Source organism: Homo sapiens, chromosome 12 (genome assembly GCF_000001405.40).
Source record: "Homo sapiens chromosome 12, GRCh38.p14 Primary Assembly".
Lineage (NCBI taxonomy): Eukaryota > Metazoa > Chordata > Mammalia > Primates > Hominidae > Homo > Homo sapiens.
This window is the reverse complement of record NC_000012.12, coordinates 22190636-22218110: the sequence shown is the minus strand read 5'-3', so window position 1 is coordinate 22218110 and position 27475 is coordinate 22190636. Positions and strand designations below refer to the sequence as shown.

Sequence of the window (27475 nt, the reverse complement as noted above, 5' to 3'; positions counted from 1 at the left end):
CTCAAGTGATCTGCCCCCCTCAGACTCCCAAAGTCCTGGGATTACAGGCATGAATCACCGGGCCTATTTCTTGTTATTTCTAAGTGTTCACTGACAGTTTGGAATGTCAGTCACATGTTTAAATTTTATTTCACAAAACAATGAGACATGAGAAATGAACAGTTATTTACATTCATCTCATTATTCTGATAATGCCTATATAAACAAATGCACAGACATACCAAGGCTAGGAAGTGGTTTCCTATTAATTTATAACTTGTGTCCTTGGAGATAATGCTTATTTCTTTGGAAGGGTTCTTTTAAGATTCAAATTTTCATCACTTGCTTTTGCAAAGAGGAGAGTAATGATGATGATGATAATGATGATGTGGTGATGATGATGATGAAAGCTAGTAGTTGTAAGACTTATTATGTGCCAGGCACTATTCTAAGTGTGTTATACATATGAACTCATCTAGTCCTCACAACAGCCCTATGAAATACACGCTATTATTATTTTTTTCAAATGAGAAAATTGAGGCATAAAGCAATGAAGTAACCAGCTTAAGGTTGTGCAGTTTGCCTGTGGAAAAGGCGGGACATACAGGCTTCTCAAAATACCTTCTCTAAAATTTGAAACCACATTTGAGACCATCATCTATATTAGACACAGATATGAACATGAAAATCAATGGGTTTTCCAAGATACAGTCTATTTTTAAAATATAAGGTGTTGCTTTACGCCATCATCTCCATTTTTTTACTTAAATGGTGATAGTCTATAGATTAGAGTATACTTCACTTAATATTATGTCTCAAAATAAATTAATATCTGTTTTTAAAGTTTAGTATGGCCTTAATTTCATATAAAGAAACTTAAACAAATAAATTGCTCTTCTGAGAAGTTCAAAAGGGAGAGACCATAAGAGATGAACACCTATGGTCAAAACAACAGCAAGTACAATTTTATTTGTCCTGGAAAAAAAATGAGATTTTTCTAAAAGATTCCTGATATTAAAAATGGTTGTGTGATTTGTGGAAAGGTTGATGTTTCTCGGAAATTACCATATTCTGTTTACAAGAAAATGAACTAGTGCCTAATGAGAGATTTGTATTTAAGGGTGCTATTCAGTTCCTAATTACCCGTTTTCTGGCTTCAGGCAGGAAAATAGCTTGCATAAAAGCCAGTGATAGAAAATGTTGCATGACAAATGTGAAGGCAATCAAAGTATCTCTTATGTTATCTTGGTATTCCTTAAAAAAGAAATAGCATATTTTGCTTTTTGTATACCATATTTTGGTAAGAATTAAATGCACTTTGTGACAAAGATACAAAAATGCTTAGAAATTCACTCATTTCATTATGCATTTATTTGTTCAACAAATATTTATTAGATACTGCATTATGTCAGGCATAGCATTAGCCTTAGGGAACAGCAAGATAAAGGACATTAGTCTTTTCTGAAGGAATTCCATAAAGGAGATCTAAAAATTAAGATATAAAGACATGGCAAGATGACAAGTACCTTGATAAAAATAAAGTGATAAGAGAACACAAAGTTAGATACCTAATCCAGGCTCAGGGTCATGGAAAACTTTTTATAGTAGATACCATGAGTTGAGTTCTGAAAGATTAGTAGGAATTAGCAGGGCAAAGGGGGCATTCACTTTAGACAGAACAAGTAGCATGTGCAACAGTTTAGAGGCTTCAGCGAGCATGACCCTTTTGATGAACACCAAGTAATCGGGCAGGGCAAGGGTAGGGAGTGCTGACGAGCAGTGGCAAGAAAAGAGGCTGAAGGTGTAGGCAGGGATTATATCATGCTTAGACTTTATCTGAAGATGAGGAGAAGCCCTTGAAGAATGCCCCCTTGACAGGAAGTGACATGGTCAAATTGGACTTGGGACAATTACTTGGGGAGGATTGAGAATTATGCGTTAGAGACCGATCTGTTAAAATAAGAAGGAGGAGGCTTGAAGGTAACCTGAAATTAAACTGTGGTACTGAGGATATGCATTAGTTAGGGTTGGCCAACTGCCATGATAAACTACCCCAAACTTTCATGACGTAATACAGCAAAGCGTTCTTTCTCATCCAGACACAATTTGAGGGTGCACAGAAAAGGGGAATGGTTCTATTCTGCACTGTCATTTATGGACCCCAAATTATTCCATCTCTGGTTCCACCATTCCCTTAGGGCTATAGAGTCCTTGAGTAGATCCTGTTGTTGCTGAAAGGATTCTGTTGTTGCTGGCAGAGGAAACAACTGTGTTTGACCTGCATAATGGCCACTTTATGTGGCTCAGCCTGTAACACTGTAATAGATAGATGGAAAGGTAAACTTAAGAGATGCTATGAAAATGGAACTTAGTGACCAACTGGATGTAGAAGTTACAGAAAAGGGAAGAATATATGTTTTTAGTTTGGTTGAGTCACTGATGGATGGTTGTGCAATCTTTTCATGCAAGGAATGTGGTTGTCACAATAGATATTGGAGGAAAGTTGTGAGTTTGAGATGCTTCCCACAGATCTCCACAGGGCTGACTCCCTAACTTTCTTTGAACTTGTGTTAAAATGTCACCCTAAACAAAACAGCAACACTCTCACTCTGTCTTTTCTTATTATCCCACTTTATTCTCTTCATAGCTCTTCCCAAATATTGTTCATTTTTTGGTTTACTGGTTGTCTCTTCTTACTTGAATGAAAGCTCCATGACAGCAGAGACTTTGTTAGCATTGTTCATTGCTACATCCCTCAGTGCATAGAACAGCACCTGGTACATGATAGGTACTCAATAAATAATTGCTAGGAGTGTGAATGAATCCAAATGGAAATGGTCAGTGGAATGAGGCTTTCCAGAGAGTATGGGTGACACAAGAGAAGAAATCAGTCATTGAGAGAAGGAAACAGATTGGGAAGTACCTAGAGAAAGATGCACTTTTGAGCAAATTTTTGTTTGTTATGTTAGTTTTCAGTTGGGGGAGACTTGGAAAAGAGTCTATATGGAGGAAGGGGCCAATGATGTGGAGTAGGCAAAGAGAATGATGTGGACCAGGTCCTGCAGAAGGTGAGAAGGAACCCAGACTACCAGGGAATGAATTCACAGGACAGGAGGGCTATGTCTTCTACTCAGGGAAAAGCTACACAATATAATTCAGAGCATAGAATCAAGTGTCAGGCTGATCTGAGTTGGAAGCCAGAGTCTACTACATTCTTGCTATGAAATTTTGCTAGAATACTTAACTGCCCCGATCCTTAATTTTCTCAACAGCAGAAAAGGGATAATGCCTTCCTCATAGAGTTACTGCAAGGCTTAAATGACATGACATGCATTAAGCAAGAATCTTGTGATGGAATTTGTTGATTATTTCTGTAATTTAATTATAGATCTTTTGATTTTTATCTCAAATTATTACTAGTGTCATAAATAAACAAGAGGCCCTATCTATTATATGTTTTTTTTGTTTCATTTGCTCCAAAAGGATTTGGGATTTCATGTCCTTTGGAATTTTGAATAAGTTTTGAGGGTTAACATCAAACTTGTTGTCAACAAGCCAAATCCGGCCTGCAGAGTTATTTCACTTGGCTATAACATTATTTTTTTTCTTTTTAACTTGAAATCCTTAAATGGGACATGCAACAATCCATTTCCAGGTCTACTCCCTCTTGTCTTTTGCCTGGGCTCTTCATATATTTTCCTAATTTACTTGGCCTTTGTAGACAACCCATGATCTAGACTGATTTCTACTATGAAATCAATTTCATAGTAATTTCTACTATTGATTTCTACTATAAAATATCTCATACCTTTAATGACTCTCATATTGCAAAATCCCCACAGACCACTTTCTGTCTTTATTTTATTGATCTTGCCTCAACATTTGCCACTGTTGATAAACTTTTGAAACTCTTTTTTCCTCTGTTTTCTGTCACCTTCCTTTTTTGTCTACTCTTTGCTGCAGCTCTGTCTCCTTTGCCCACCATTTAAGTGCGATAATTTGTCAGTGTTTTTATTTTAGCTCACTGTTCTTCTTGTTGGCTCATGTCTGTGGCTCAACATGTTCAAATTTGGATAATAGTCTTTCTCTTCAAACCATTTTCTCCTATTGTGTTACATATCACAATGAAAGCAGTCGCCAGAAATCCAAGCCATTCAATCCCCCAAACTGAAACCACTTTCACATCTAGAAATAATAAATATTCAACAACTGGCACAGTGTAGACATTAAATAAGACTGGACAGTGCCCTGTACACCTCACTGTTGCTTCCCAGCTAAAGATCAGCCCTCCACACTCAGTTACCCAAGCCAGCTCCTACTGCCTCTGTGGTAACATCATTTTACCATGGACTATTCACATGCTAATGTGTTTTCATTTTCCTTGTAGGTAAAATCTCAACCTTGAGTGGAATAGATCCTTCCTTTTTTCTGTCCTGTGCATCAAGCTAGCTACACCTCTAGCTGCTCCCAAGGCTCTCAACTTTACCATATTAAATTGTTTGCATTTCCCCAGGTACTACCTGCTCTTACCACATGCCCTTGCCCATGCTGGTCTTTCAGCAAAGAGTGCTCTTCTCCTTCAACTCCGTTTGCATAGCTACTTTTTACTCATTCTTCAAAATTCATTTCAGATATATGCATATCTGAAAGGCCTGCCCTAACTTTCTTCTCTCTTAGCAACATCGCCAGTCTAGGTTTGGAACCCCCATGCTGCAAGTATTTTAAAAGCTTGCATTTGTAAGTCATATTTTATTATTGTTATAGCCCAACAAATTCTTCTTGCCTGCTGCACAGAAAAAGCAAATACATGGAAACATCAGGTATTATAGTAGAGAAAGAATTTAATCATTGTGTGGTGTGAAGCAAGTAGGATGGGAGATATTTCTCAAATTCACTTCCTTGAGAACTGAGAGGCTGGGGTTTTTAAGGATAATTTGGTGGGCAGGGGGCTAGGGAATGGGTGCGGCTGATTGGTTGGGAATGAAATCATAGGGATGTTGAAACTATCTTCATGTCCCGAGTCAGTTTCTGGCTGGCAGGGGTGGGTAACAGGACCTGTGGACCTGTCGAGTCAGTTCTTTGGTATGGGTCATGGATTCAGGTGGCATGAGTTGGTCTACCTGAATGCAAAAGTTTGAAAATGATCTCAAAGACCAGTCTTAGGTTTTACAATAGTGATGAATATACAGGAGCAATTGAGAAAGTTACAAATCTTGTGACTTCTGGTTATATGATTCCTGAGCAGTGAGCAGTTATGGAAAAGCAATCTAGGGAACAATGGCTGGTTAGTGTTTAACTATGCCTACCTCTTAGCAGAATTGAGGCCCCACTGTAGTCTTACAAAGATGGTGTCAGTCCCCAGGGATCAGTTTGGGAAAGGGACTATTATCATCCTTGCTTCAAAGTTAAACTGTAAGCTAAATTCTTCCTATAGTTAGCTTAACCTGTGCTCAGGCATGAGCAAGGGCAGTTAGCTTGCGAGGTGAAGAGCAAGATGGAGTCAGTTTATGTTAGATTTCTCTCACTGTTACAATTTTTTTTAAAGGCAGTTCATGTCTTATCTATCAATGGAATAGCTTGACCTAGAATGTTCATTGCAATCTGGCAAAGTACTTTCCTGTGGAAGAAACACACCCATAAAATGAGAAGGTATGGAGGAGGAAAGTATTGTAAATCAACATAAAATTAACATTCATTGACAGAAGGAAAGGAAGTAACAGCTGGGTAAACAAACAGCTGCTCAGAGACAGAAAAATGACAGTAAGCAGCCATGAACATGGAAAATGGTCCCCAAATATTAGAAAAGCAAGTAAATAATATGAGGAAATGAATTAACCCATTGGAAAATTGCTGAAGCATTTGAAGAAGAAGTAAATAAAGGAAGTGTTCAAATTAAAGTTATTATACAGAGAAAAAGTAGAACAAATATTGTGTGTAAAAGAAGTGGACTTTTAAAACGCAATATGGTCAGGAGATAAATTAACTTGAAAATTTATATGAGTTATTTTTTATAAATGTGTTTTATACTGCACAGACAACATTATAAGAATATTAAAAAAATCAAAAGAATAAAAGTACGCCATAATCCTCACTTATCATTGTGTTGAAAATAGTAAGTTAGGGCCGGGTGCAGTGGCTCATGCCTGTAATCCCAGTACTTTGGGAGGCCGAGGTGCGTGGATCACCTGTGGTCAGGAGTTCGAGATCAGCCTGGCCAACTTGGCGAAACCCTGTCTCTACTAAAAATACAAAATTAGCTGGGCATGGTGGCAGGCACCTGAAGTCCCAGCTACTCGGGAGGCTGATGCAGGAGAATCACTTGCACCCAGGAGGTGGAGGTTGCAGTGAACCTACATTGCACCACTGCACTCCAGTCTGGGCGACAGAGTGAGCGAGACGCCATCTCAAAAAAAAGAAAATAGTAAATTAGAAAATCACAACTGGTTTACTTTGCATTTATAGGATTACTAAAGACCCTAACCTTTTAAAAGGACATATTTAATAACACAAGTAACATACATATATTCACCTTCTAAAAAATTAAAAGCATTACAGATAAGGCTTTGACCTTGTGAAATACATATTTGATCTTCAACCTATTTCATCACATACAACCCCTAAAATCCTTAGAATGTCCACAAGGTGATGTATTTTGTATGCTAATGATTAGCCAATCGTTAGCATGCAATCATGGTTGACAGCCCCTAGGTAGCTTCAGGCTGGGAGCTGATCACAGGAAAGACCAAGGCATGATTAGAGGATTGAGACTTTTAGCCCCACCCCCCAGTCTCCAGGGAGGAGAGAGGGGCTGAAGGTTGAGGTGATCACCAGTGGCCAGCGGTTCAATCAATCATGGCTATGTAATGAAGCTTCCATAAAAACCTAACAGGACAGGGTTTGGAGAGCTTCTGGATAGCTGAACATGGGAAAGTTCCTGGAGGGTTGCAGATTCCTTCCTCCATACATTGCCCTATGCATCTCTCCCTCTGTATCCTTTGTAATATTAAAAGGAAAACTTTAGACAAATTAAATTTAACAGAGTTTAATTGAGCAAAGACTCATGAATCAGGCAGCCCCTAGAATCAGAAGTGGTTCAGAGAAACTCCAAGCTGCTGTGTTTTCTGAGAGAATTTATGGACAGAAAAAAGAAAATGACACGCAGAAAGTGGCACTGAGGTACAGAAACAGCACGATTGGTTACAGCTTGGTGTTTGTCTTACTTGAACACAGCTGGAACGGTTGGCCACCTTTGGCTGAAACTTGGTGATTGGTACAAGAGTAGGTTATGGTCTTTTTACACATCCTGTTAAGTTACAGTTCACTGTGTATAGAGAAATCTTTAGGCTGAACCTAAAATATGTGAAGAGGCAGCTTTAGACTAAACTTAATTTAACAGTAATCTTTATAATAAACCAGTAAATGTGAACGTTTGCCTGAGATTTGTGAGTTACTGTAGCAAATTAATCCAACATGAAGAAGGGATTGCAGGAACCTCAGCGTGCAGCCAGCTGGTCAGAAGTTCTGGAGGCCCAGACTTGCAACTGATGTCTAAGGGGTTGAAGGGTGTCTTGTGGGGTCTGACGCTATCTCTAGGTAGATAGTGTTGGAATTGAAGTGGAGGACCCCCAGCTGGTGTCTGCTGTAAAACTGATTGCTTGTTTGATGTGTGGGGGAAAAAACCCACATATAGGTCACAGAATTTTTCTGTGTTGATTAGTGTTGAGTGAGAGAACAGAAAAATCACTTTGAATTTGTTTTTTCTACACAGAGACCCTTACCACTACCTCCATACCACTGCTATCCCTGGAGGTAACCATTTTTTTTCAGCTTTATGTGTATCCTTTCAACATTTTCCCATGCACCACATATGTATATGTAACTATAGAAAATTTCTATCTTTATCTTTTATGATATGTATATATGATAATCCACTATACAAACTGCAGTCGTAATTCTGCAACTTCTTCATGTTTCTATATAACATTTGTCTTGGAAATATTTCCATTTCAATGTAAATTAGAGTTATGTCATTTAAAAAAATTGCCATGTATCATAATATGGATATAACATAATTTATTTGGCATTCTATTAGTGATGGCATTTAGGTGGTTTCTAATTTCCTGCATCCTCCAGCAGACATTCATGGATATTTACTTAATGCCACGTGCCAGGCACCCTTCCTGGTTTGGAGGATTTAATAGTAAACAAAATAATACTTCTTATGGGCATGTAAGAGGAGACAAATATAAATGAAGACATGTATATGTAATAAAATATTATGTTGTATGATAGAAGAAATACAACAGAGACAGTAAAGATGTATATTAAAATATATCTGAGGAAGAAAATATAAAAAGAATACAACAAAGATGTTGTAAAAAAACATACAGAAAGAAAACAAAGATGAGAGAGTAGGTGGCAGTAAAGGCTTCTATGAGGAGCTTTCATTTGAGCCAAGACCTAAAAGAAGTGATGGATGGTGCCCTACAAATATCAAAGGCACCAGCTGAGAACTGGAAATGCAGGGTCAATAGGTGTGCATATTTGAAATGCAAAATCACTTTCCAAGCTGTCAGTGGCAATTCATACTCCCATTTGAAGCATAAAAGTGTACTGTTTCTCACAGATTTCTTTGTTATTATCAATTTCCTTAATTTGCACCAGTCAGATGTGTGGAAGACTGTTAGTTTGCTATAGTTTTGTTATAACTTGAATGCGAGTGAGGTCGTGCTTATTTTAATATGCATATTGGCCCTTTGAATTTCCTCATCTCGGATTTGGCAGTTCTACATCGTTGTTCATTTACCCATTGTGATATTTGCATGTTTGTTATTAATTTTTATTGTTTGTGTTCTGGATACTACTGTTTTGTTATGTTGTGCTATTTGCTGTATTTGTTATTGATTTTTATCATTTGTATCCTTGATACTAATCCCTTGTCATGTATGTTGTAAATATTTTCATCCCAATCTGCTGCTTGTCTCTTTAAAAATATGTTTGTAGAAGACTTTCATTTTAAAGCAGTCATGTTTAACAATTTTTTATGGATTTTGCTAAGGAATTGCCTCATGTTTACATTGTCTTTTGTGTCCTAAAGGTCTTAAAGATATTTTCTCCTATTTTCTTTTAATTTTATGGTATATGATTATTCCATCTGGAGCTTAATTTTTGGGACAATGTGAGGTAGGAATTTATCTTATTTTCTATTACTGGCTAGCCAGTAGACCCAGTACAATGTATGGAATAGTAGATTTTTATGAATTGGTTTGAAATATTACTTTTGGCATAAAGGAAATCTCCAAAAATGCTTAGGTACATTTTTAGACTCATTCTCCTGTTTCATCATACATGGTTTATTCTTGTGTGAGTTCCATAGTGTTTTTATTACTATAGTTTTATAATCAGTTTTGACATTGGTAAGTTAAGTTTTCTCTGTTATTCTTTTGTCCAAAATTACTGTCAGTATACATACTAATTTATACCTCTCATATGATGTTTAGAATTACCTTATCAAATTTTACTTTAAAATAATGTTGGGATTTTTGTTGAGATTGCATTTGAACCTACAAATTTATCTGGGGAGGCATCTTTCAATATTCCTTATTGTCCACATAAAAATGTTGTATTTATTTTTAGGCTTATTTCAAAGTGTTTGGGGGCTTTGTTGCTATTAACAATGAAATTTTTGTTTTATTGTATTATTTTAATATATGATTCCTGCTGTATAGGGAAGCTAAGACTCTATTGGTTCCAATAAATATTTTTTTCAGTTGATTATTTTGTATATTCTAGATAGGTAATTATAACATCTTCAAATATTGACAGATTTCCACTTATATACATAATTGAAATATGTTTAAAAAATTTTTCTAATGCAGTGTGTGTGTATTTTTATGTTGTTGACTTCTCATTTTTTTACATTTTCGATCAGACAGTGTGACCCGTATGATGATAATTGTTTTATTATTGATTTTGCTTCTTTTTTTTTTTTTTTTTGTGAGACAGACACTGTCACCCAGGCTGGAGTGCAGTGGCACGATTTTGGCTCACTGCAACCTCCACCTCCTGGGTTCAAGCAATTCTTCTGCCTCAGCCTCCTGAGCTGAGATTACAGGCACCTGCCACCACACCCAGCTAATTTTTGTATTTTTAGTAGAGATGGGGTTTCGCTATATTGGCCAGGCTGGTCTCGAACTCCTGACCTCGTGATCTGTCCACATTGGCCTCCCAAAGTGCTGGGATTACAGGCGTGAGCCACCGCGCCTGGCTAGAAATTTTCTATTTTATGTGTTTTAAATAATATATTTTAAAATTGAAAACTCATTATGATTGTGGACTTGTGAATTTCTATCTGTAGTTTTTATTGGTTTATGCTATATATTTTTCAAAAGCTATCATGTTAGGTATTTAAAGTTTCTTGACTATTATTATTTTGGTAGTCTTGTGAACTTGGTCAATATAAATTGTTTTATCTTTTTTATAATTTTAAACATTAAATTTCTGTTTTTACCAAAATAATACACATACGTGGAAAAATTAACTTGTATGACAGAGCTCAAACTGAAAAGCAGCAATCTCCTGTCTCAGACCGCCCCCCACTCCCCCAAGTTATGTTCCAAGAAATCTATACCTTTCAACTTCCTCAGCTGATTTTTTTTGTCACATGTGAAAACAACATGCTTAATTACAGTTCTTAAAATTTCAACTTGTCTATTGATTTCTTATGGAAAAATATACTGAGTTCTCTTCATGTGCTCCTCACAGCACGGCTGTCTACCCTATACACTTATACTTTCTTGACCTCTCAGTCCAGACATATCGCAATCAAATCAATAGTCAGTGTCTACCTAAATGTAGTTCACATCTGAGATAAAAAGTTTATTACAGGAATTGATAGCCTGTCCACATGTAAATTTTCTCCCAGAGTGCATAAAGCCCTTCCATGCAGCAGTCGCGAATCCATCTCTGGAATCCTTTGAAAGTGCAGCTCTTCCATCCCTGCTGCACATTGGCCTATCTGGGACACTGTTTCTGTTGAGACATTCATCTGGAGCTGTATTTTTCTCTTACTTGAACCTGATTGATGGCTTTCTAGGCCTACTGTATAGCTATTTTTCTGGAGCTTTCCTTTACCCAAATCCATCATTTGTTATATTTTTTAAATTGCCAGCAGCACTTTCTTATTACCTAAATGCCTTTTCTTTTTATATCATCCTAGCCCAGATGTGGTAGCCATGAACATGAATAAACAAACTAATTATAGATGTTTAAGAGGTTTCCTCTGCCCCTTGAATGATTTTGGTTTCCTCTGAGTCCCTCTGCTCTGACTCTTATGTTGGACACTATCCATCAGTGTCTTCTGAGCTTGGCTGTGTGTTCTTGTTTGGTGACTGGAAGCTCTGTGCAGAGACTGCACCTGTCAACAGGTGGGTTTTACTCTGGGTTGAGATGGTGGCAACGTTGCTTTCTCTTGGGCAGTTCCCAAATGTTACTGCTTGTAGGTCTTCTCCTTGGGCTACTCAGTGTCAGTATTCCACTTGGGAACTACAAGCCTGACTGCTGATATTGTATGAGTCGAGAATTCCATTTCCCTGGGCTGAGCCAGCTTTCTGGACACCTACCCACTCTTCCTACCTGGAAACTGACGCGTCCTTCCACATACACGGTGATAATTGATCGGTGCAGGATTTTAGGGTTCAGCCCACCTGGGTGTCTCTGCTACCCCATAATCTGAACAATAACCTTGCTGATTGCTGTTAGACACCACTTTCCCTAGTATCTCCTGCCTCCAGGTATAGGGCATTGCTACTGCTGCCTTTCAGAGGAATGCTCAACAAGTTCCTTCATGCTCTGGTTTCCTTTGGTAAACTGTCTGTTTTTTTGAGGTAACCTAGATTCAGGATCCACTGAGGTTTGCTTTCTTTTTTATTTTCAGAATGGAGATAGATTTTTAAAAACTTATTTTCTCCTATTTCTAGAGATTTGTCATAGGAGGTGAGAGCTTTATTCACCCTTTATTGTGTTCCTTTCTATTCTATTAATATTCCTTTTTGTATTCAATTTGCGTCTTGTAACTGTAACTGAATGCTTTAACATTTTTAATTGAAATTCTTTCAAGATTAATTGTCCATTTTCATATCAATGTATCCATATATTCAGACTCTACAATTTATCGATACCAATTTATGTTTGTTATATTTGCTGTAAATATTTCTCAGAGTAATTCCCTTTTTACTTTAGTTATCTTATTCTTCATGGTAATGAAATTTTACAACATGACATAATCAATTTTGTTAATATTTTCCTGTGTTGAAATATATTTTGCAAATGTCTGATAAGTTCATGATTTTTTTTTTAGTTTTTGTAACATAGATTTTATTTATTTATTTATTGAGATGGTTGCCCAGGCTGGTCTCGAACTCCTGGCCTCAAGTGATCCTCCCACCTCAGCTGCCTAAAGTGCTAGGATTGTAGACTTGAGTCACTGTGCCAGCTAGATTTTAAATATCTATCTTACTTATCTTAAAATTATTTGGTAATTGTCTCGTGAAGTATGAATCTGTTCCCTCTCAGATTTCCAAATTGTTAGCTAACTATCTCAATATTGTTTATTAAGTAATTTAAAAAATCTTATTGGTTTTGTCCCCATTATCATGTATTCAATTCCTTTATAAAATGTGCTATACTTTTGTCCTTTCCACTCTGTTTTTGTTTTTCCTTTTATGCTCATATTGATTATAAATTAATCATTTCTATTTTAATAATTCATGGGCTGATCTTCATTTTTATTTTTAATTCATAGGCTGGTCTGATTTCTTTTTTATTTTTAAAAATTACTGTTTAGTAGTTTTTTATTCATATAGTACACAAATATTCTGAGCTACGTTATAAAAATTAAAGGATGAATAGAACTTGTCCTTTGTTTTCAAGGAGTACATAGTCTTAGAGAGTATGAGCAATTATTATTCAGGAATTCAAAGAAGACTTTTGAAAGCTTAAGTTGGAAGGAAGGAATAAGCCTAATAAAGGAAAGCTTAAGTTGAGTTTTGATTTATAGGCACAACTTCACCAGGGCAATGACTAGATCAGCAAAAATGAATATATGCAATAAAAATTGTGGACAGGTACACACACAGGGATGGCTGGAGCATAGGGTGAGGACATGAGGAGTAGCTGAGTATGAGGCTGGAGAGACAAACTGGAGCACCACTCTTTTCTAATTCCAGCTTAATTTTGTAATAATGTAATAAAATTCAATACCAACCCCATTAAACTCTTGATCAGGGTAATATTAAACATATTCAGTATACCATAACAATTATTGAATTGAATCTAATTCTTAAATAATAATGTCATTTGTCACAGAATGGGAGAGGTAAAAATAATAACTGTCAATAAAATTAGGACTATAGTAAATTCAAGCTGTGTGTTCCTTTTCAAAGTGAAAACACAGAAAGGGAAAACTACTCCCTTCAAGACTAATCAGTTGGCTTTAAGACAGGAAACACAAAATCAATCATCTTGACTTTATTGAAGCAGTGTGTAATTCTCTGCTAGTATGTAGTCCACAGAGACAGGGATCAGTTCCATCAGCCAGCAGGGCCCTGTGAAATGGGAGCCATTCTGTACAGGAATAAGGAGGAATGGAAGGAAGCAAGGAAAGCAATAGAGGTATCCTAACTGCTCTAGAAGGTTGATGGTGAAATGACAGAATGAGAATGTAGCACTGGGAACGGTATGAGCATATTAAGAAGAGTTTTTTAGTTCTAACCTGCTTGTTGTAATCATTTCACAATGTATGTGCATATCAAAACACCACATTACATACCTTAAATATACACGATTTTTATTTGTAAAATATACCTTAGTAGCGTTGAAGGGGAAAGTTCTAACCGTATTTAGAAGACAGAGGAAATAATTCAGTTGAGATGGAGAGGTTGATTTTTTTTTTGAAGAGGAGAGATCCACTTTGGAACATGAGTTCTTTAGGATATGTGAAACAGCTTGTCTCAAGATACAGAGGGGAAGATGGAGCACTTCTTAGAATGGCAGCAAGGATGTGATTAGAAGATGTAAAGAAAAAGGTGGTGAGAGATGGATGCAGAAAGCCAGACAGCTTACACTGATGCTTTGATCTTCTAAATAAGTATGTCCCACCTGTGTCAGATTACCCAGGAGTACTAGGTAAAAATTCAGCCCCTGGATCACTCTCATCAGAACCCAGGAAGCTGTGATATTAGTGAACTCTCTGGGTTATTCTAACTAAAGTGTGAGAACCAATGGCTCAAATGGAGTAGCAGGTTATCTACACAGTGTGTCTATATGATTGGGAAAGCATTAGTGCCACCCATATTAGAAGATATGGGTGGGCGATGGAAGAAAGGAATTGCTAAGCAGAGCCCATTTGGAAGTTGGGAAGCAGGAATTTGTATTGGAGAGGCTGGCCCAGCTCCAGATATGGTTGAATGTGCTTCCATGGCTTCTTCTAAGTTAAAGTGAATCTACCTAAAGACCCTGTTATTACTTCTGTATCAGGACCCAGGGAAAAATTGATAAAGCAGGCTACTGGATCAAGAAAGCAGGCTACTGGATCAAGGACATGAAGACAACTTGAGAGATTTCCCTTCCTTCTGGCCTTGAGAAACATACCTTTCTGGGCAGGCAGAGTCAATAATGCTGATTGCTACATACAATCCTGTGGATTTGTGTATTCAGAACTTTAATTTCACATAATTATGATGAGCCTGCCAACATGTCAGGCCAGACTTTCCTCTGCTAGTTGTGGCTCAGTTTATTCTTTGATGCTGCTGCTCCACCTGCATATAACCCAAGATGGGCAGCTCCCATGGTGAAAGGAATTAAAAGTTGCAAGGCCCTAATCTAGGTCATTGCTTTTCTCTCTCTCTACCCTTCTCTCTCCCTCTCTTTCTCTCTCTCTCTTTTTTTTAACTTGAGTGTATTAGCAGCCTCTTACCTGGTCTCCAGGCTACCAGCCTCTTCCTTCCAAGGTAATCTTCTATTCTATTAGAGTACCTTTTTTTTACACAGACTGACAGTTGCCATAAGTGCTGTAAGCAGTCACTGCTGTGAAGATTTCCTGTCACCACAGAGTGATGTTCTAACAAACAAAACAGATATAAGACGTTTTTCGAAGAATGCCTTGTCTTCAGCCACTGCTGCCGCCATTAGCACCTCCTACATTCTAGGGACAGGGAATCCTTGTCATTGCCTCAGTATATTGCGTACTCTTGCCTGTAACCAAAGTATCCCTTCGAGTTTAGTTGCTGTTCTTTCTGTTGTTTCCCTATAAGAAGTGTATTTAAATGTTATTCCCACTCTGTAGCTTTCTTGGACCACACTCCCTCTTTCCAGGCAGAATTATTTTTTTCATCTGTATTCCATAGTACTTTATACAAGTATCAACATTGTATTTAGAACATTCTATTGTACTTATTTGTATCTTTGTTTCTACAACTGCACTAGAATTTCATGTAATCCAAACTGAAAGAACATAGGAAAGTAGAGTTCTTTGGAGCAAGCAATATGGGCAACTCCCTGCATCATTTTGTAATAGTAACAAGCTTTCCTTTTTCCATGTAATATTATAGTTGTAGCATTGATGAATCTGAATATTTATAGAATCATAGAATTTCAGTGGGGAGAGGTATCTTAGAAGTGATTCCTTTGATTTGCAGATGAAGAAACCAGTCTTGTGGTTATGTTAGACCACCTAAGTACCTTTCATCAAAATCCCAGCCAACAACCTTCAGGAATTTATGAGAATTAAACCGTTTTCCATTTCAGGCAAAAACGTTCTGGGAGAGAACAAATGTATAATGCATTTTAGTTTAGAGGGAGCCCCATTAACAAATGTTAACTGCGTTTTAAGAAGTTGGGGTCAGGGAAAAAGTCAGGCTATTTGATGAGAGATAATTGATAAGTTCAAGGAGGATTTTAAATACAAATAAAGTGTTTTTCATGTGTTTCATTGAGATGATTTGAGGTATCAGGGCCACCAGAAGACAACAGAGTGGGTTTTGGTGAGTTTCTTTTTCTCTAGGTTTAATTGAACAGTTTTTTTTTTCTTCAATAGGTTTCAGAACCTTCTGTGGTCCAGAAAGACATTTGTGGACAACATGAAAATTTATAACCACAGTTACATCTACATGCCTGCCTTTTCTATGAAGACAGGAACAGAGCCATCTTTGAGGGTTTATTATACACTGTCAGATGTTGGTGCCAATCAAACAGTGCTGTTTGCCAACCCCAACTTTCTGCGTAGCATTGGAAAGTTCTGGAAAAGTAGAGGAATCCATGCCAAGCGCCTGTCCACAGGACTTTTTCTGGTGAGCGCAGCTCTGGGTCTCTGTGAAGAGGTGGCCATCTATGGCTTCTGGCCCTTCTCTGTGAATATGCATGAGCAGCCCATCAGCCACCACTACTATGACAACGTCTTACCCTTTTCTGGCTTCCATGCCATGCCCGAGGAATTTCTCCAACTCTGGTATCTTCATAAAATCGGTGCACTGAGAATGCAGCTGGACCCATGTGAAGATACCTCACTCCAGCCCACTTCCTAGGAACAATGGAAGAAGAAAGGACTGAACCAGGGTATTTTTGTTAGGTTTTCTATGTGACTCCAAGAGGGAATGGTCAAGTTGTTTCATGAGTTTGCATGGGCCCTTGGAAAAACAGGAAAGGAGCAATGAAGATCCAAGCAAAACTTTACTTTCAGCGTTGGCTTGGAGGACAAATAAGAAATGAAACATCCTATGAAATACTTTATAGCACATGGCAGATTTGCAACTAGTAAAATGCTGGTGAAATGCTGTTGGTAAAGCACATGGTTCAAATCTAGAAGATGCAGTTCAAAAACAAGACAGACTCGAGTTGTTAGGGCTGAGGAACCAATCAAGGTAGAACAAAGAAAATGTTGGGGTAAAAGTGTTGCTGATTGTCAACACAAACTGGCTTAATAATATTAATAAGAACCTGTCTTATTAAGACTGGCTTTAGAACCGTAGGTTTTTTTAAAAAATTATTATTTATTTTTGCCCTCTTTGGGGAAGTGGGTGGGTAGATTTAAAAAATCCCTTCCTGAGTAATAAAGATACAAAATGTTACTGCTGATAATTGTGATTTGTTGAGCCACGTCTATATTAACTATAGCTCCCCTCTATTTTTAAAATTTTACATAAGAATTGCTTCTTCCTCTTTTGTCAAGTCCACAGAGACAATGTGAAGCATTATTGAATTTAGACTGTGTTGCTTCATAGTCTGGATAACAGGAGCCACTTTCCTTCCTCAGAATTTAGGACATAAACCCAATTTTAGGTCTGCATTATGTAAGCCTGTTTGCATTGTCATTTTTATTTTAGTGCAAAAGACTACCAATATGAGTGAATTATTTGTTTGTAAATTGGCATAATTGTCTTCATAATTTAATGTTCAGAAATGCAGTAAAGCACGTTGATGAAAAGCTTAGTCTCTGTGGAAGACAGACCAGAAGACAAATCCCTTTTCTATCTACTGTGGCATATTCACTGCAAGGTAAAGGACATGTATGCATACATGCAAGAATGAATTGAGCGAAACTTTGAATATGTTTCCTCTTTTGAGCTATTGTTATTTAGTAGTTACCTAAAAAAGAATACATTTTTACTAGTATACCATTAAAAATGTAAAAGGCTTAACATGTATGCATACATGTAGACACACATACACACACACAAAGTTAAACAAAGCTCATTACTGTGCAACTATGAAAGCTGAACTCATATGACCTGGTATGGCAAAAATTTGTAACCAGTGTTGGAGAATCACAAATGTGTTATGCACTATCCATTACATGTTGATATAAGACAACCGAGCTCACTGGTTGCCGCACATAATACCCATAGCAGCACAAGATGCAAGTCTTACCCCCAAATGCTTACCCGGAATGAGCAGAATTGTCTTACTCATCCTGATTTTACCCAAAATCTCATGAATGGGCTTGCTGTTGAGCGTGGTCACACAAGGTATAGTTTGTACAAGTAAAGAAATGTGAATTAGTAGCTATTTATTTCCTTAGTAGCAGGTAGGACTACTTAGCTTGTTACAACAGCTTTGATACACAGTAAGAAAACTCTACTGACAGATTACAAGCAGCCAAATGTGTTTACATTTCAGAGAAGGGTAAGGGAAGCCTCTCGTTGTCTTCATACTTTGGAATGTCTTAAGCTAAAATGTGACACTAGAGTTCAATTTCTTTTTTATTTTAAATGTCACTAAATTGTAGGTAAACTGTACCAAAAAGTTCTAGTTTAATTTTAACAGTAAAAACTCAGCATACCATGTTACCACGTAAACAATAATGGCTGGTATTTTCTGTGGGTTAATTTAACATGACATAAACATAGGAAAGCCCTTGGCAAAATTCTACATCATTGAAGTAGACCATTTCTAAATGCAATTAAATAGTGAGGTTATTATAAAAATTAGAATTTAAAATATGACTTGTTGATAGTGCAGATTATAATGTTACTTAGAAAGTTAAGAATTCGAGAGTAATGATGCTATTGGAGAACTGGTTTGCTATACGGCAGCAAAAACATAATGAGAATGTACCATGAAGAAATTGTGTTAAATATTCACTTTGAGTGAAACTTTAAATATGTTTCCTCTTTTGAGCTACTGTTATTTAGCAGTTACCTAAAAAAGAATACATTTTTACTAGTCTACCATTAAAAATATAAAAGGCTTAACAAAAACGCATATAAAAGTTAATAAAATGTTACTCAGATTAGTACTTTAATTGTTAAAATGTAATTAATGAGCTCCATAGAGCCCATACATCACAGTTCCATTGAAAATATCATCTGGACTAGAATCTCTTAAACCCAGGAAGTGGAGGTTGCAGTGAGCCAAGATGGTGCCACTGCACTCCAGCCTGGGTGACAGGGCAAGACCCTGTCTCAAAAAAAAAAAAAAGAAAAGAAAAAGAAAGAAAATATTATGTGGAAATTTTTCATCTTTTTATGATGCCTGGGATAGATTTATGCAGTAGATTTATATATAATGTTTAGTTTACAAACTTGTGAAACTATTTCATGTGGGTTCTGAAAGGCAAAACAGAAATGGCCAGTGCTGGTGATGTTTGATTAGACCAGCTCTTCTCAGCTGGGGTGATTCATTATCCCTCTCTGGTGACATTTGGCAATGTCTGGAGACCAGAGACATTTTTTATTTTCATGACTCAAGGGTGCTAATAGCATGTACTTAGTAGAGGTTAGGGATCCTGCTAAAGATCTTACAATGCACAAGTCAGCCTCTCACAGCAAAATAATTATCCAGGCTGAGATGTCAGTAGTATCAAGGTTGACATCTCAGACCTGGATTAGACCTGGATTAGACCAAAATGAAATTTTGATTGTTCCACCTTGTCTTCACTTAAAGATAGATATACATGCTCACAGCATTCAAAATATGACTACAATTTAATGAAAATATTTTCTTATGGTAGATTACAACTCACTAGATACACCATACATATGCCTTTTGGACATAATTGGTTAGATAGGAGTGTGTGTGTGTGTGTGTGTGTGTGTGTGTGTGTGTGTGTGTGTGTAGCATGAAGTTAGGCATCTCTATCCTTAACTGTGCTATGTGTTCCTAAGTAAGGACCTCGCTAGAATCATCCTGTAGAGTGCTCTGGAATACTCTATTATTAAGATCTTCAATTCTAAGCTCCCATTATCTTTCTTTGTTTATCTGAAATTAAGACCTTCAGAATTAGGCCTGGTACTTTTCCAGATTTGATCAGTTACATTTTGATATAACTGACTCTTAAAATTCAGCTTAGAAGACATTCAATAAGAAAATCTTTAATCACTTTTGGTGATGCACCTGCCAAGAGGGGGCATCACTTTGTACCATCAGACTAATTAAAAAAATTGTTGTGTAGTCATAAAAATTAGGCTGATCCATAGGGGCAAAAGGAAGGGTGAAGAGACTAAAAACTAGTACCCTGATAGAATTTTAGTTTTTATTAGCCTCGATTTGAGAACTGCATTGATTCCAAAGATCATGAAGGTAGGTGAAGGATTAAGTCATTCCATAATTAAGAAAAGTAATGTTTATATGAAAGATTTTTATATGGACAATGACTCACAGACACATATGCTTTGTATAGAGGATTTTGCCAAAAGTTTATACAAAATTGCACATCTAAACTGCATAATTCTCATACAAGAAGTTAAGGAAGTGCTCACTGGATTTTGCTTCTGTATAGTTCACTTTTATCTGTCTTCACAAGGGTAGGAAGTAAATGATCTCAAATGGCACATGTTCAGACAATACTGTGTTTGGCTTTGTGATGTCTCATGTCTTTCTCTTGGCTAAAAAAAATTGTTTAGGCTATATATAACTTGTACCTGAAGCAATCTGGACAACATGGCTTAAAATGGAAAATAACTGAAAAAATCCTGGGATTTTAAATTTGCCAAAAATACCCTTGGATTAGTCAAAGGCTTTACAAGAGTGTTATAGATGATCCAAAATGGAAACAATATTGATAACATTTCTTTTCGTCAGCAGCTACATATTCCAGTTTTATAACTTTATTATATACATTTTTTGATTATTAATAGAAAGTCAGCCATCCAGAGTTTTAACTTCTGTGGTTGAAATATTGACTTTGTGAAATTTTTCACTGACAAATACTTGTTAGGAGGGACCTAAGGGGGAGGGGAATGTTACCAGTCCACTGAAAACTTTAGGAAATGTTCATTGTGTTGTGTAAATACTTTCCCACCAGCACCAGGTAATATATTCTCTATGTTTGTAGAATTCCAAAGATCAAAAGCTGTAAGGACGTTTATGTGAACTTGACGCAAACTTGTGGAGGAATAAGGACTGAGAGTAATGTTGTGCTTTTTCTTTATCTTCCCGTCGTATAGGTCGACTCTCAGGTTATATGACTTTTATTGGGCACACGTCAGGGGTGGAAGTGGTAGAAGTGGGTTAACAATTTCAAGGCCTGGCAACCTAGGTCAAAACCTCTAATAAAGTCAGCAGTAAACATAACTAGCAACTTCATTCCACTATGTGCTAGGAGGAGGGTGAGGCAAGTTGAAAGGAGATGACCCTATCCCCACACTCTCAGGATGTAAAAGGGCAGAGTGCTCTCTACCCTTAACCTTGGCTTTTTAGCACCGTCAGTCTCTGTCCTCTCCCAGGAGAGCTGCCTTGGCTCCAGAGTTGAGCTAGTAGCATTGTGACTAGAGAGGTAGTGTGGAAATTCGCTGAGGACCTCAAAATTTTACACTGCCTTAAACTGTTTTGTTTTTGCTTAAACTCGTGCTGTCTAAATGTGGGTGTTTTGTGGCAGAGTCTGATCACCCCGACCTAGTTATAGCCCTGCCAGTGATTCTAAAGTGGAACTTTTCCCCCTCATTCATATGGATAGTCTGAGTCCTTGAAGCTAGGGAGATATCAAATATTCTACCAGTTCCTACATAGCTTCTTTAAAAGTCCTAGAGACTAACTCACAGGAAGTCTGAAGCCCAGAGCGTCTGTTTATAAACTCCTAAATATGAGGCCACAATATTTAGGTTGAGCACTAGAAAATTTCTATTTTGCAAGTGGAAGGAGACTTGAATCTATAATTGCTGTAGCTTTTTTTCCCTTCTATCATAAGAAAATGGATACCATCTGCTTTACCCTCAGCCCAGACTTGTCTTTTGAATTTTTTACATACATCTTAGGGGTGAGAGATTGAAACAAGTGCATGAATGAAAAGCTTATTGAAACATAACACAGCCCCTGCTCACCATTTCAGTAAGGGAAAATACATGTTTCTGTTTCCCTCTAATTTGTTTTCTCTGGTGCCAACATTTCTGATTTCTTCTGTCTCTAATACATAAGGAATAAATACCATATTTTAAATTGACTTACATGCCTGCGAGCATTTGCCAGATAATCAAAGCCTATGACTCTAACTTTTTAAAGCACAGAAGAGGAATTATATTTTATGGTCACTCCTCTGTGTTTCTATTGATCTCTATATTGTGCTAAAATTCTTTCAGGTAATTTTTTTCTTGTTGAAGCTGTGGGATATAATCAATGATGCCAAGCTGTCTGAGAATTTTATAGAATAATATCCAAATATATTGATCCTGCCTCTTTCTGCTTCTATGTAATTAAACTTTCTTTTGATGTTTATTTTTAAAATGTATGCTTCACACAACACCAATAAACATCTAAGAGATGTGATATAATCCAAGGCAAAGAAAAGTAAGAATCAGTTAATGTCTATTTTATCTGCACAGCATTACGAACAGAAAATTGTAATAAAAAAAGGTTTAACCAAACTGAAAAAAAGAGAGACAAAATCTTGGTTTTAATTTGAAAAGATGATTGGGAGTGATCTCAGAAGAGAGTTCAGCAGGAAGCAAGGAAGAGGCTGTTGACCTTGAGTGCAGCCTCAAGAATGGAACCTTTTTGAAATATTTTAAAGGAAATATCTTGTCATCCAGCTGTTATGGTTAATAATGAATAGTTTTCTCTGGGTGAAGCTTATCCATTGCACACCTGATGTGCTGGCCCCTGCGATTTCCCCAAATGTTGGAATGTTGCCTGCATAATTTGTGGTAATGGGGGACTGTGTTCCTGCTTTTACCTGGTTACAAAAAACAAAACAAAACAAAACAAAACAACAAACAGAAAAAAAAAGAGAGAAAAGATGCTAGAGGAAGCAGTGTGACAGACAGATCATGAGATGCTGACGGAGAGAACAGAGTGGTACCTGTTTACCCACTTGGACCATGACAGTATCAAGGCTCCACCCCTTGCTGTCCCTTCCCAAGAGGTGCTCTCCTGGGAGTTTGATCACAGTGAAACAACACTCCCGTTTTCTTTTTCCTTTCTTTCTTTCTTTCTTTTTTTTTTTTTTTTTTTTTTTTGTTGAGACAGAGTTTTTTGCTCTTGTTGCCCAGGCTGGAGTGCAATGGCGTGATCTCGGCTCACCGCAACCTCCGCCTCCCAGGTTCAAGCGATTCTCGTGCCTCAGCCTCTGGAGTAGCTGGGATTACAGGCATGCGCCACCACACCCGGCTAATTTTGTACTTTTAGTAGAGATGGGGTTTCTCCATATTGGTCAGGCTGGTCCCGAACTCCTGACCTCAGGTGATCTGCCCGCCTCAGCCTCCCAAAGTGCTGGGATTACAGGCATAAGCCACCGAGCCCAGCCCCACACTCCTGTTTTCATAGCCCTTTTTTGTCTGTACTTTGGTACATATTCCCCAAATAAGATTATTATTTACATCTGTCATGATGAGGCAGTGATAGCAGCAAGTGTCACTTTGACCCTCACCCTTGGAAAGTGGGCTATGCATAGCTAGAGTTAGAACAGGAGGTTCTAATCCTGCTTCCACAATTACTTCAGTAACAGGCTTTTGTATCCATGATTACTTAAGCTGACTTAGATGCATTTTCTACCCTGTATTCTAGTGTACACAACACAAACACACATAAGCCCTTTACCTGTGGAGAAGAGGGAGATGGTTGATTCAGTGGGAGTGGGGAGTGGCAGAGGGTGCCTTAACTTTTTCTGGCTTGACCCCTACTTCCTTATGTGTTTCCTTCATATACCTCTGTCACTTTAGAGATGTAATCATGTCTGTTCCAAGTTGTATCGTTATTATCAAGAAGTCCTATAAATGTAGCAAATGTGACTATTTTATAGAAATGCACAATAGTTTATAGGCCTTGGAGAAGTCTGATAATAGTATGTAAATATCCTTCATTGAAGTCATAGAACCTTCTAGTAGGAAGCTCCATAGGTGATAACTGCAAGAGGATTAATGTTTGTTTCTCCAGTAAACACCGGAAGCAAGGAATCAATCTGTCACTGTTTATCATTCAGTCTTGAGCACCGTTGGGTGTTGATAGGTTACTATAGACACTCCCCTTATAATTAATATACAGGACTCACAATTTAGGATGTCTGATGGCCACTAGGGTACATCATAGAGACACTAGAGAGAAGAGAACAAATATAGCTCCATCAAAAAGCCTGCTTAATCTTTAACAAGTCTGAAATATTACTAAAATTCCAGTTACCGTGCAGCATAGTCAGTCTAAAAAGCACTGGGGAAAAAGGTGTCTTTTTGGTCTCTTTAATTCTATTATGGCACATTTTAATATTATTCCACATGTGTGCAAACTATTTCTCAAGAGCAAAGTTTGAGGCTGGAGTTAAGAAAATAGAAAAATTAAAACATTATTTTTTCTCATATAATATAATCTGACTACTAGTTCATGGATATAATAATTCTGGGAAAAATTTTAGATTAAACTATAAAATTGAAATCACCTTTGAAGAGTATATGGAATTGCTTCTTTCTATTAAAGCCAACCTACATTGGCAAAAAGTGTGGAGAAAATCAGTGTGCTCAATTCTTTTTGTAGAGTTTCATCTAAAATGTTGCAGGTAAAAAAGAAAACTTTAATTGGTACTTTCTACGGTGTGATTAGAAAAATTAGTATCTATCTCTGTTGGTTCTGCTGACTTGCTTCTTTCCACCGAATCTAAATGCAATGTCATAGGAGGAGGTTTGCTGTAAAAACATGTCTTTTTCTTTGGTGTATTCATTGTAATTATGGCTGGCAGTGAGAAGGTTCGGTAAGTCTCAATTTCTCTACCTCCTTTACTTGGAGAAAATTTGTAAATGTACCCTGTGAATAAAATGATTTTTTATAGCTTGTGAAGTCTTTTCATTTTCCAGAATTAAATGGGTGACGCTCTTTCATCTTCTATTCCTGCTTTGTTTTGTATCCATATCAGCTACACTGATATTTTTTTCTTACAGATGAAAAGTCATGAGACTTAGTGAGGAAATCATTTTAGAAATCCTGAATTATAATTGCTAGAATATAAGAACACTATTGGTACTTCTTATGTGGATGAAAGGACTATCTATAGGGCAAACTAGAAAGAAAACTGAGCATTTATTTAATATGATTAATGTAGATAAGCCTAGTTTTTCCAGTGATAAAACTTCTCCTTTTCGTCAATATCAGTATGTGTGTCCAAGAGATACTTTAATACATTCCTAACAAGATGCAATACATTTAGATTCCCCTTCTGCACATATGGGTGACTTTCAAAACCCAAGTGTGCCTTTTAGTCTGAATTATTTAGACAATTGCTTCAAACTCCCATTCCCCTTGGGCGCTGTTGGCCCAGTTCTGCCAAACTCTTCCTCAGAGGGAGTGACATCAGGAAAAGTGACCTTGATTCATCCTTTGTTATACATTTCTCCTCAGAAATTGATCAAGGTACTCTGTACAGATCTCCTTATTAATTCTCTGACTTCATTCTCACACGACATAGCTTTTTGGGCTACAGCTATTTTAAGAAAGGACATTCTATTACCTAATGGAAAATCTACATGGTGTTTAGCTGAATCACTTGGAAACAAATGCAATACTCTAGTATAAATGTGGGTTACCCTAACCTATTCTCAGACGATATAAGGAAAACAGACTTAACTTGTTTTCACCAACTATCATTAAGTCCCCAAATCTAGATTTGACAGAGTCCTGCTCTTCTACTTTGTTTCAATTTGAGCATTCAAAAACAGATATTAAGACTTCAAAGGCATTAATTACTGAAGAATTCCCCCTAAACCTAAAAGGAGGATAATTATAAATCATAGACTATATTTTTACTTGAAAACTTATTATTTTGGATATACGGTTAGATTCCTGATGATATGAACAATTATAGATGTAGGAGGATTGACTTCATTTATAATTTATATTATTCCATTTTATGAGCTTTTAGAAGTATATGAAAACAAGTTCTTTGTTTCATTTATATACATAGAGTAAAAGTTATTTCTTTCCTTCTCAATAGTCATGAATTCTGGGCCAGAATTAAAAAGTCAGCCTCAATACTTGGGAACTTTTTCATGGTAAACAGTGCAATCAAATGTTAGGTTAAAAGGCAATCAAGAATTTGTGAGTCTCAAGATAGATGCCAATTGAGATTCCAACCTTTGCATATGGAGGCAAGGGAGACAGTAGGAATAAGGTACAAGTGTTCATTGGGTGGGACCACTATAATCCATTTCCTACCAGGCAGATTACTGATCTCTACAAAGAGAATGCTTTTCTACCAAGGGTTTAACATTAGCCTTTGCTATTGTTGGTTGGGCACTTGGCAGTGGTGGAAGCCAGATTATCATTAGTCTTTGATATTAATTCCATGCATAACCTCCATGCCTGTTACCAAAACCACTTTGTATAGAAGTCCATTGAGAAAGTAGTGGAGTAATTGAGAAAAGAGACCAGCTGTTACCCACTCAACACATTGTTTAGTCTGGGCCTCTTATAAAGGTTATGACTGCAGTAGTGAGGTTAATTTCTGGAGTGGTTATCAATGTGTTCTATCCTGGAGCACATAACAATTTATTCTAACTGAACTAGACATGTATTCCAGATTTGCCTTTCCTGTCCTCAATGCTTCTGCCAGCATGGCTATCTATGAACTTACAGAGTGACTCATTTACCGTATTGACATCATGTACAACATATAATATCCTTTTGACCAAGGGACACACACTTTATGGCTAAAGAAATGTAGCAAGGAACTAATTCTCATGGAACTAGCTTGTATTAGTATTACTCTTTACCATACCATATAGAACATACATTATCAACAGGAGAGATACTGCCCCCTAAAGAGGAAAAAATTGGTTTTAGGGAGTGTGATCTGAGAGACCAAGTTAGACCAAGTTAGATGCCTTTTTATCAATCAGGACAGGCCTAAAGATTAAGGAAACAAAGTTAACCTATGGGTGGAGGATTCAGGGTCTGGCTGGCATGACACGTTTCTAAATTCCTACAAGAAAAACCACACTCTCACCAACCTCCTTAACAATAAGAGCTTTCAGGCAAGTTGTCCTAACTCTGATTTACAACCCAGACCACTGCAACTCTGATTGGACAGGGGATCAGCCTTATCAACATTCTCTTCTGATAAACTACTGAAGACCTTAGGCCAGTTTCAGCAGCTTATAAAGGCTACACACAAACTCTTTGCATCCTATACTTCAACTTCTGATGTAAAGAGCCAAATTCCACCTCATTTTAATGCTAAAACTCAGCCCAAAAGTGAACATGGCTGTATGTTATGTGGATGTTTGCCCATTGGGCATGCACTCTGCTCCCCTCATAGATATGTATAGCTTTCCCTTCAAACCTGCTGAATATTTATGACTGTACAAACCTTGCCAGGCATATAACCCAACCTGTCTTTCCCCTCTACAAAAACAGAGCACCTTTGGTCTATGCTGGAGACATTCTTTTCCTGGCTTGAAAACCAATTATTGCTAATAAAACTCTCCTTTCTACTATCTAGCCATCCGGGTATCTTTTGAATGACAGAGGTAAAAAAGAAAATTAGATACTATAGTGGTTAGGAAAAAATATCTTAAACGTTTATTTAGGG

The 27475-nt window shown here is 37.1% G+C and overlaps 1 protein-coding gene and 1 pseudogene across 2 annotated transcripts in view; both read left to right on the top strand.

Annotated features, from left to right (window-relative positions):
- The window catches only part of ST8SIA1 (ST8 alpha-N-acetyl-neuraminide alpha-2,8-sialyltransferase 1), a 141317-nt gene extending 116597 nt beyond the window's left edge, over positions 1-24720 (top strand). For both annotated transcript variants that reach the window (NM_001304450.2, NM_003034.4), the window contains one exon: positions 16073-24720. In NM_001304450.2, the coding sequence (NP_001291379.1) occupies positions 16073-16559 (487 nt within the window). In that variant the 3' untranslated portion in view covers positions 16560-24720. The remainder of the gene's footprint in view (positions 1-16072) is intronic.
- Positions 22482-22642, top strand: RNU1-149P (RNA, U1 small nuclear 149, pseudogene; annotated as a pseudogene).
- Positions 24721-27475: the final 2755 nt, after the last annotated feature.